Here is a 12,483-nt window from a genome sequence, read left to right as displayed (position 1 = left end):
ATCCTATGTCCCCAGAAACATGGCTCCTTCAGTCCTGGCAGCTCTCTGATGCTTTGTTGCCACGTTTCAGGCTGGGAGATCATTTGAAAGGCTGCATCTCTGTCTAGACATATCGTAAATTCTTTCTTTCTCGGTTTTGTTTCTTTACTGGGGTACTGTTATAAAGCAGGAATTTCCTCTCTCTTCTCTCAGGACTCCAAAAACATCTATTTCTTGATTTTCTCACATTGGTTGGTTGGTGGGTAAGAAGGAGGGAGGGAGGCTAAGTATTTTGTCTGTAAAATCAGCATTGGGCTGGAAGACTTCATGGTGGCAACTGAGGGTGAGTGGTAGCTAATGATTTCCATCTCTCTCTTCTTCCAAGTCACCTGCATTTCAACTAGTTCTGCTGCGGTTGACCACACCTTGGACTAGCCCTGTAGTTACATGAGAAAGGACAAATTGGAAGTGATATGATGCTCCTAAACAACAGCAGATAAAAGAGAAAGAAAAACAGATGCAAAAGGAGAGGAAGTTTTCAAATAATGAAATAGTAAGGGAAAAGGGGCATCTGTAGAAGGAGAGTTTTAGTGTTCAATCAGGCAGGGTATGAGTTCTGCGGTTTCCTGTGTATTCAAACATGCATACACACATGCCTAATAGAAACTGATTAGAGCATGAATTCCAATGTGCTGTAGATACTCTTTGAAGTGTACCTGCAAATAATAAAACCTGATAAGTGGCAGCTGAGAGAGCAAAGTTTCACCAACTAACTACCCATGTGCTCCACATTTGTTGTTCCCTTTGCAGTTAGATTTAGGCCATGCGTCTCATTCTGTCCAGTGGACAGTGGGCAGAAATGGTGCATGCTATATAGGCCTGACCATGTATACTTGTTTAGGACATTCTAGCCACATTTTCTGTTGCCACAGCTCCCCTGGAAGTGATGAGTAGAGATAAAGAGAAACTGAGTCCCTGAGTTACCACAAGAAAGAGAGATGCTTTGAAGTGCTCCTTAACTATCAGATGGTGATACATATCAGAAAGTGATACATAAACTTTGGTGTGTTAAGCCACTGATACTTGGAGATTTATTTGCTTTTGTAGCACAGCTATCCCATTCTAATCAGTACAGTTTAGAGGGTAAGATGGCTATTCGTTTGAACTGCCATTCTGTTACCTTGTGTCATAAAAATATTCACTGAAAAGTCCCTCTTCTCTAAAAGTGCTGTCTATTACTTCTTTTTGTTTTACCATTATAAATCATTTAGTACAGGACAGATTCTTTACAGGGAAACTAAAAGCCAAATTATTAGTCATTTCTGCCAATTGAAGAATGACTTGGGATGAAGGTAAAGCATGTTAGTGGAGAAATATTATTCCATTAGAAAAATAAAAGATTCATAAAAAACTTTTGATAGCATGTCTATTCCGTAAAATGAGATTTTCTCAAGATCTGGAGGTCATTCAGATAGAGGTAGTTTCTTGTCATTAAAAATTGATTTAAATGTTCTCCATTATTTTAGCAAAGTTTAAAATCTACTATAGAAAATTCTTACATAAAAGATTCATGTTTTATTATTATTTGGTGTGGCTTTTGCCCCAGACCTAAAAGATTCATGCTTAGGAGATTTAAATGTTTTTGGATATAGAAGGCCTTGGGTCCTTTAATTAGTTTACAAGGAAAAAAAATTCAATTTAGAATGTTAATATTTTTCTCTAAATACAAATTTGGATTCTCTGGTTCCCTTCCTTTCTTTTTTCTCTTCCCTTTCCCTTCCCCTTTCCTTTCTCTTCCCTTCCTTCCCTTCCCTTCCTTCATCTTGCTTCATCTATATCTTCACCACCACCTACCTCATCTCTAGCTTGGATTTTTAGGTCAACTGCTTCTGTAACAGCCTCAGAGGGGCACTGACCAGATCTCCCTTCAAGAGAAAACCAGCCATAAGGAGTGCAGATGATGGTTGTTGCCTCCAGGATTGGCCCCACATTTTGAGCTGAGGTGAAACACTTTTCTTGCAGCCCCAGCCAATGACTAATCACAGAAAGGATAGTAGGGCTTGGCCTCTTTTGACCAGTGTGGAACTCCTCTATGAATAGTCTTTGCATTGCAGCTCTTCATTGAACTGATTGAGACTTTGTCAAAGCTGTATGGCAGTCTGAGGCTCTGTTCATAAATTCTTTCTTCCTGATACCTCTTTTACATAGGTTTCAGACTTGTTTTGCAGTCTGAAACGTTTACCTCTCATAGCTCCTTCTCTTATTATCTTTCACAGACATCACCCTCAATAAATCTCTTGCAGTTTCCAACTCCATCTTGGCATCTGCTTCTTGGAGGGCCTGAACTGACACACTTCTGAATTGCTCTCCTTGTATCACTCTTTCTCTCTTCCAAATTTCTTGATGCAGCCAGAATATTTTTATGTCCCCTTGTGGTTCCATGGTTAGAATTTTTCAATGGATTCCATCTTTCATAAGACAGTGATCAAAATCATTAACACAGTGTATCAATCCCTATCAATTCTGACTCAGCCTCTCACTCTAACCTCATCTTGCCCCAGGCTCCATACTGGAGTTTCTTTAGTTTCTTGAATGTTCCCTCCTTTTCCCCTGCAGGTCTATCTGCCTGTACAATCTTCTCCCCTCTTATAACTGTCCATTAGTCATTCAGAGTGCAGTGTAAACATTTTTTCATCAGAGAAGTTTTATCTGACATCAAGATTTATATCATGTCTTCCTATATTATATTCACATAATAATATATATCTTTCCATCATACAACCTATCATAGCTGTGATTTAACATTTGTTCTGATGCATTGGTTAAAAATCAGCTCCCTCAATAGACCCAGAGCTCCATGATGACAGTGTCTGTACTTTTGTTTACTGATGTCTCTAAAACAACTGAAACAGTGAGTAACATGTAGTCACTACTAACAGCTTTTATCACATAAATAAATGAATGAAAAAATTTAGAAGATTATTCTTTATTCAAAAAACTACTTATTATAAAAGTTTATTTAAAATAGGTATTTGGACTTCAAAACTTTTAATTTCTACTTTTTTTTTCTAAATTAAAAGTGTTTTTCAACCTTCTCCTTGGGCAGAAACTAGATTGGCACAAGTGAAAAATTGAGGACATCTCCATTTCAAATGATCTTTCTCTTTTCACTTCATTGGCTGTTTGGAGAAATAGAACTGGCCCAGTGATAGGGAATCCAGAGTCTGCATTTCTTGTAAAAGACATGTAGGCATAAAAAACAGATGAGAAGTCACTGTTTTATGCAAGAGCACCTAGAAATCAAAGTTAGTAAGTGAGTTCTTACTAATTTAGTTTTGGTCTAGAAGGTGACCTTGAATAAAGTTTAGGCTGAGTTAGGAATGCGATAGATAAGGTAGATTTATTTAAAAAAAATGATTGGTAATTATTTCTCCAGATCCCTTGAAAACCTAGTTCTGGATGGAGGAAGATCCAATGCTACCTAGGGATTAAGAGCATAGACTCTGGGTTCAGTATGCCTGGGCTGCAATTTTGGATCTGCCATGTACCAGTTTTGTAATCATGGGAAAATTACTATCCTCTTTAAGCCCAGTCTCATCATCTGTAACATAGGTATAAGAGCTCCTACTTCATATGATTTTATGAAGATTAAATGAGGAACTGTATGTCTAGCTTGTAACATGGTATCTGGAACATAGTGCTAAACATCCTCAACTATTATCAATATTCTTCTGTTTTCTTGTTATTTGTCCTTTGTATTTGAAATTTATGAAATAAGCACGTGGCATTCTTGGATAGAAATATTTTTTCATTCCATTTGCTGTTTTTCTACAATTCTTCCATATGATCGATGGGAAGCAGGAGGCCTGTAGTATGGTGAACAGCGTAGAGATAATGCAGTATCATCTATAGTTAGACTGCACTCTGCCACTCACAAGCCACCTCATGATCTCAAGCATGTCCCTTAGCCTCTGGTGACTCAGTCTCTTCATACATGAAATAGAGACCATAAAAATTCCTACTTCATAGGGTTTTTGTGGATATTAAATAAGTTAATGAATGTAAAGGCCATAGAGTATGCCAGGCATATAATAATGTTTGCCATTAGCCAGACTTGACTTCCTAGTAAGTTTAAAGCTCTTTGAAGAAAAAGAACTTGACAAAAAATTGTTTTTCACAAAGCACTTACATTTATGTTGGACACATACTAAATATGCAATACATAAAGGCTTGTTAACTGGTTATTTTATATGCATAACAAAGCCTTGATTATAAATCTGAAATTGTCTGTATTTGTATACCTTTTTCACTGAGCCTAGATTTGAGTCATATTATATCTAGTACTCAGCACAAAATTTGTAGCTCATTTGGAATATGTTACATGGTTTTAATGGAGGAATTTTTATATTCCTAAGTAGTAGCTCAAATGTCCACAGCATATTCACAATCAGGCTTTGTTGTCCTTTCCTGAACTGACTCCTGGTCTAGAAATCAAATCTTAAATTAGTGGTATTTACTCCTGCCCAACTATATACATTACCCTTGAAGAAAATAGTATGCTTCCGAAAACGGACCGAAATTTCTGGTCAGGCTTTAAACAAAACTGCAATCTATGTTTTTGGGAAGTCTCATCTAAAGATAAAAAAACATGTAATTAGGAGATAGACTTCAATTTGCAGAAATAACTTTTAGTGACTGTTTTATTGAAGAATGTCTATTTGAAGAATACATAACTATTTAAAATTATAATTTTCTTAATATTAGCTCCTTTGAACAAGTAACCATTACCAGCTTAGGTTCTAAAGCCTAAACAGCTGTTCCTCACATTCTGTTTATGAGTTGAGCCAGCAGACCCCACTGTTAACTTCTTGAAAATTTTGATGTGTTTGTGTATGTGTGTGCACTGAAGACATGCAGTTCAAATTTAAATTTACAATTTAAAAAATGTGCAGATACTGATAAAGTTTAGGGAAAAGAGGTCAATATATAAAGTTTCCCAGTAGACATTTTAAAAAAAATCACAGCTGCTTAGATACAACATAAAAATGATGTAGTGCAGAATCTTAGTACCTTAGTTTCCCCCCAAATTACTAAATTACTGTTTACTGTTATTACATGGAAGGCAGGATATACAGTTGTTAAGACCTGGCATTGTAGAGTTAGGCAAGCCTGGGATAAATTCTAACTCCGGCACTTTCTATGTGTAGGATCTTGGGCAATTTAGTCAATATCATTAAGATTCAGCTTTTATATTTGAAGATGAGGTTATACAGATACCCTCATTTTATGGTACTTTGCTTTATTGTAGCAACCTTGCCTTGAACAATCATATTGGCGCCATTTTTTTCCAACCGCATGTGCTCACTTTGTTTCTGTGTCACACTTTGGTAAGTCTCATAATATTTCAAACTTTTTCATTGTTTTATATTTGTTATGGTGATCTGTGATCTGTGATCTTTGTTGCTGCTATTGTAATTGTTTCAGGGTGCCATAAAAGATGGTGAAATTAAATGCTGGATGTGTTCTGACTGCTCCACTGGCCAACCATTCCCCCCATCTCTCTCCCTCTCCTTGGGCCTTCCTATTCCTTGAGACACAACCATATTGAAATTAGACCAATTGATAATCCTACAATGCCCTCTAAGTGTTCAAGTGAGAGGAAAAATCACAAGTCTCCCATTTTAAATAAAAAACTAGAAATGATTAAGCTTAGTATGGAACACATGTTGAAAGCGGAGATGGGCCAAAATCTCAGCCACTTGTGCCAAACAACCAAGTTATGAAAGCGAAGTAAAAGTTCTTGAAGGAAATTAAAAGTGCTGCTTCAGTGAACACATAAATAATAAGAAAGCAAAATAGCTAATTGTTGATATGGAGGAATTTTAGTGGTCTGGATAGATCAAACTAGCCACAAAATTCCCTTAAGCCAAAGCCTAATCCAGAGCAAGACGCTAATTCTCTTTAATTTTATGATGGCTGAGGGAGGTGAGGAAGCCACAGAAGAAAAGTTTAAAGCTATCGTAGGTTGGTTCATGAAGTTTAAGGAAACATAAAACTCTCCGTAACGTAAAAGTGCATGGTGAAGTAGCAAGTGCTATGTAGAAGCTGCAGCAAGTTATCCAGAAGATCTAGCTGAGATAATTGGTAAAGGCGGCTACTCAAAACAATGGATTTTCAATAAAGACAAAACAGTCTCATATTGGAAGAAGATCCTATCTATGACTTTCATAGATAGAGAGAAGTCAATGTCTGGTTTCAAATCTTCAAAGGATGGGCGGATTCTCTCCTTAGAGGCTAATGCTGCTGTTGACTTTAAGTTGAAGCCAATGCTCATTTACCATTGCAAAAATCCTGCAGTCCTTAAGAATTAAGCTAAGCCTACTCTGCTTGTACTCTATAAAAAGAACAGCAAAGTCTAGATGACAGTACCTCTGCTGACAGCATGGTTCACTGAATATTTAAAGCGCACTGCTGAGACCTACTGCTTAGGAAAAAAAAAGTTTCTTTTAAAATATTACTGCTCATTGACAATGTACCTAATCACCCAAGAGCTGGAGATGTACAAGGAGATTAATGTTGCTTGCATGCCTACTAACACAACATCAGTTCTGTAGCCCATGGATCAAGGAGTAAATTTGACTTTTCAGTCTTATCGTTTAAGAAATACATTTTATAAGGCTGTAGCTGACATAGATGGTTATTCCTCTGATGGATCTGGATGAGGTAAATTGCAAACCTTATGGAGAGAATTCACCACTTTATATGCCTTTAAGAGCATTCACGATTTATGAGAGGAGGTCAAAATATCAACATTAACAGGAGTTTAGAAGTTGATTTCAACCCTCTTGGGTGACTTTGAGTGGTTCAAGACTTCTTAGAGGATGTAACTGCATATGTGGTGAGAATAGCAGGAGAACTAGGATTCAAAGTGGAGCTTTAAAATATGACTCAATTGATGCAACCTTATGATCAAACATTAATGGGTTAGGAGTTGCTTCTCTTGAATATACAGAGAATTTCTTGAGATGAAACTTATTCCTGGTAAAGATGCTATGAACATTGTTGAAATGACATCAAAGGATTTTGAGTATTTTTAAAACTTTTCTGGTAAATCATCAGCCGAGTTTGAAAGGGTTGATTCCAATTTGGAAGGAAGTTCTACTGTGGGTAAATGCTATCCAGCAGCTTTACATGCTACAGAGAAATCTTTCATGAAAGGAAAATCAACTGATGTGGCAAACTCTATTGTTGTCTTATTTTAAGAAATTGCCACAGCCATCCAGAACTTTAGCAACCACACCCTGATCAGTCAGCAGCCATCAACATTGAGGCACGACCCTCTACCAGCAAAATGATTACAATTCACTGGAGAGTCAGATGATCATTAGCATTTTTTATAATAAAGTATTTTTAATTAAGATATATGCATCATGTTTTTAGGAATGTGCACTTAATAGTCTACAATGTAGTATAAACATAAGTTTTATGTGCACAGGGCAACACAAAATTTGTGTGTCTCACTATCTTGCAATATTCACTTTATTGTGGTAGTCTTGAACCACACCTACAGTATCTCCAACTCATGCCTGACTAGGATCTCCCTCAGAAATATTTTGAGTTTAAATGGGGCAATGTATGCCAAAAGCTTAGTGCCTAGAACATAGTATGCTTTTATTTAAAGTTATTATCAATATTTTGTTAAACTTCAGAAAAGAGAAATCCAAACTTTTCCTAGAGTAATGATTAGATTTATCAATGTGAATTCACAGAGGTCCTCTATTTTTGCTCTGTATTCCTTTTTCCTCTTATATTTCATTAAACTATTTATAGAAATGGTATATAGAGAGATGGATCAAATGGCTCAGAGACAATAGAAGTTGTTTCTCTCTCATATGATAGTCATGAGGTAGGTGGATGGTCCAAGGCAGTGGTGAGCCCTGCTCAGTGAGGTCATAAGGGGTCTGGTTTCCCTTCATTGTGTTGTCCACTATTCCCTTGGAGAATGTTTCTTTTATGTAACTGAAGCTGGCTCACTAGCACCTTGTCCACATTCTAGCCTTAGGCATTGGGAAGGAGAAAGTAGAGATCAAGCAGATTCTTTCTGAGAATTGACCCAGAAGTGGCATATTTCAATTCTATCCGCATTCCAGTTCCATTCTGTTCAATCTGTGTACATTGATCAGAATGTACATATCTGGGGACATCAATCTGTAAGGGAGGATCCAAAAGATACTCTCTAATTGTGTGTGTGACCCATTTCCAGGAGAAAATACGGGAGTATTTTACTAAAGTGAAAGGGTCAGTTAGCAGCCTCTGCCCCAAATCATGTGATATAGTGCAAAAACTCTGTAGGACCAGAGGCCAAGACAGCTGGGAATGTCTTGGGTCTGTTCAAAGTAGTCATGCAGCCAAGAGATCACTGAGCTTCACAGTTCTTAGCCATCTCTAGGTCTCAGTGCTTTACTTCTTCACTGCCTAGGGTACTCCTTAATCCTTCATCACATGACAGAAGAATAGTGAACATTTATGGAGCCCTTGTTGTGTAATGCACATTTATCTTATTATTTTACATGTATTTTCTCACTTAATACTCTCGACAACCCTGCGAGGTGGCACTATTATTATCCTCACTTTATAGACAAGGTAACAGAAGCATGGAGAAATTAAGTAAGTTGTGCCATTGGAATTTTATTTCAGTCTCTTAACTCCAGAGCTCAAGTGTCTATGTGAAGAGTAGTAACTCATTTTACCCCTTGACTGAAATGCTGTACTGGTTTCCTATTTCTATGGTAGCAAATTACCACAAACTTAGTGGTTTAAAAACATCACACACTTATTATCTTACAGTCCTGGAGGTCAGAAGTCTGAAATCGGTCTTGCAAGGTTAAAATCAAGATGTTGGCAGAACTGGATCTTTTTGGAGGTTCCAGGTGAGAATCCTTTCCTTGCCTTTTCCATTTCTAGAGGCTGCTTGGTATTTCTTTGCTCGCAGCCAGAAATCTCATCACTCTGAACTTTGCTTCCATCATCAAATCTCTTTCTCTCCCTCTCCTGCTTTCCTTTTTCACTTGTAAGGACACTGTGATTACATTTAGCACCCACCAAATAATCCAGGATAATCTTCCCATCAAAATCCTTAACTGAGTCACATCTGCAAACTCCCTCTTGCCCGTAAGGTGATATATTCACAGGTTCCAAGGATTTAGGTTTGAACTTCTTTGGGGAGCCATTATGCTGCTTACTACAAATCCTTTTGAAAAGGATATCAGTAACTTATTAATCAACAAATTCTATGGACTTCATCAGGTTTTTCTACCTTTGAGCTACCTGTAACGTTTGATATTGTCTACCACATATTCTCTCTCAAAACTCTCTCCACTTTTAAGTTCTTAATTACCACTTGCCTGAATTTCTACTCTCTTTGATGACTTTTATTTTTCAATTTCTTTGCTTGCCTCTCAATGTAGATGTTTCCCAAAGACTTTAAAAATTATTTCTTCTTCTTCTTACTTTATATGATTTGCATTAGTATCCTCTTGCACCCAATCTTACAAACAATCTGTAACCAATATGTAGATAGCACCCACCATTTGTGTCCTCAAACTTGATTTTGTGCTTGAATTTCAATGCAACATTTTAAAGATGTCTGCTATACAGTCCCCTGACTGTTCTGATCTCTCCAATTCAACATTTCAAACTGAAATTGTGGTCTACTTTCTCATATCTGCTGTTCTCTCGGGCTTAATATTTTTGTTGATAGCCCTTCACCTTCTCGGTTATCCTGTCTCATGAGCTCAGAATCCTCTTCATTCTTCTATCTAATTTGTTCCTCAAAATGTACAGAGCCTAGCTGTATGTTATTCTTACTCTTTGTATTTGCTCCATTTCCCCCGCCATTCTTGCAGTTCTCTTGTTAGGTCTATCTTATTAGCGTAGCAGTCTATTTTATTCATTGCTGCCAGATTTACCTGTCCAAAGCTGAGCTCTAGTCTTATTACACCCTTCTACCTCAAACATCTTTTACAGAATTGTCTATTTGTCAGAACTTCTTTCATCTGCTTCAACATTATTTCTTCCAATATGCACTTACATACTTTTTCTTCTCACAACTTGAACTTTGTTTCCTGTTCATCACCTACTTTCCTATCTCTGCCCTCTTGCTAATAATTTGCTTTTGTCCAAAACATCTTTCCCAACTATTTACATTTATCTAAACCCAATGCATTTTTGGGATTTAGTTTAACACTACTTCTACCAGGAAACCTTCATTCATTTCTCCCTTTTTGAATTTTCAGACACTTTCCCATCATTTATTAAATTTAATATCTTTTCTTCATTTATATAGCTATTTTTGAAAATGTCATTGAAGAAAAGAATGTATTAGGTTGGTGCAAACATAATAATAAAGCTGCAATTACATTTGCACTGACCTAAATATTTGGTTCATCACTCAGTATAGGTGTTTAAGAAATACTCCTAAAGGCATGACTCTGTAAAATGGGAAAGTTGAAAAAGAGAAATGATTTTCGATTCGGAGAGTAAGACCGAAGTATCAGAGTTCTTGGGTTTCTATAATTGTTTTAAAAGGTACATTAAATATTATAAAATATTTAGAAAAATTAAGAACCTATTTTTAAAATTCATATATTGATAAAGTGCACAGTTTTTGTTATTATTTCCAAATGTTCATAGCAAATGCCCTTGTGGGTTTTGAAGCCAACTCCTTGGGTTTGAATCCTGGCCAGGCCAGGCTATAGCTAGTGAGCTATTCAACATTTTTGTTATTTATATTTCTGTACTCAAAAGTTGAGATGTAACAATAGTTACCTCATAAGTACCTCAGAGTACACACAGAATAGTAGCTGACACATGATAAGCTCCTAGTACATTTTGTCAATTATTAGCTATCATTGTCATTTCTCAAAAGTGGGCATAGGTTTAAAAGACTGAGTAGTGGAGTAGATGATCTTTATCATAACTGTGTCCCTAAACTTCTATCAGTCTAACAATAGCATAGCCCCGCCTAACACGTACCAAATAATCAGGTATACTTTAATAACAAAATCTTACTGGTATTGTTGCTGGTAGGTAAAAATAAGTACAGGATTTTTATTCAATTCACCAGTAAAGTCTGCTGACAACTAGAAAAATGGTTTATTTTATAAATAAATGGTCTTGGCGTAATATTGAAAAGGAATATACAAGACATGGTAAAAGTTGTTATACAGTTGATGAATATTATAACAAATTTTCAATTCATGGCTACAGTTAAAATAATCTATTTTTTAGTTTTATGTTTTATAATAAAAACATGTAACTAAATATATAACACTTGTTCTCAACTTTGTTGACACATTAGAATCACTTGGGGAGCTTTGAAAAAAAAAGTTTATTAACATCATAATCATTGTAACTAAAGTTGTAGCATTCATAATTTTTAAGAGCTCCTAAGGTGATTCCAATGCTCAATCAAATTTAAGAATCACTGGTATAAACACTTTGGTTTTAGGACCATGTTGACATATGGGAATGTATATAATACCTGCATATATATATATACACACACACACACACACACACATAAACACACACACACAAACAAATTTATATACAGAAATAATAAAATGCTATTCTTTAATTCTGCATGTGTGAGTTTTGCTATGATAATAACATTGATCATTATAAGGCTAACATTTAATGAACTAAGTGTCAGTCACTGTTATCAGTGCCCTGAGTACATTCCCTTATTTAAAACTCACAATACCCACAGGGAGTGTCTATTTTTTTATTTTAATGATGATGAAACTGAGGCACAGAGATGCCAAGTTACTTGTCCAATGTTATACCACTAATAAGTTGTAGAACCAGAACTGGAAAAGGAGGCCTCTAACTTCAGATTTTGAGCTGCTAATCATTTTGCCATACTGCCTATGGTAGTAATTTATAGGTTATTAATTAGGTGGTTATAAATGACAAAAATTAGATAGAGTTGAATACTGCTATGGAAATATAAAGGTTATCAGAGATCCTTACTGCTGTTTATGCATTACTTTCTTTCTTTACTTTTTTGAGATATGGTCTCGCTCTGTCATCCAGGGTGGAGTGCAGTGGCATGATCACAGCTCACAGCTACTTTGATCTCCTGGACTAAAGAGGTCCTTCTACCTCAGCCTCCCGAGTAGTTGGGACCATAGGTGCACCACCATGCCTGGCTAATTTTTAATTATTTTTGTGTGTGGAAACGGGTTCTTGGTATGTTGCCCAGGCTGGTTTTGAACTCCTGCGCTCAAGTGATATTCCCATCTTGACTTCACAAAGTGATGGGGTTACAGATGTGAGCCACTGCGCCTGGCCTATGTATTACATTATACAAGAAAGCTAATTTACTAAAACCATTCAATGTTTTAACATACTTTTAAAAATTAAATGCATCCTGGTTTAAAAGATAAAGTCTGACTAATGTGCAGAAATCTCAGAGATTATCTGGAAGGTTCTGGTAAGCAA

The sequence above is a fragment of the Homo sapiens genome, chromosome 6 (genome assembly GCF_000001405.40).
Source record: "Homo sapiens chromosome 6, GRCh38.p14 Primary Assembly".
In the NCBI taxonomy this organism is placed as follows: Eukaryota; Metazoa; Chordata; class Mammalia; order Primates; family Hominidae; genus Homo; species Homo sapiens.
Note: the sequence above shows the minus strand (reverse complement) of the source record.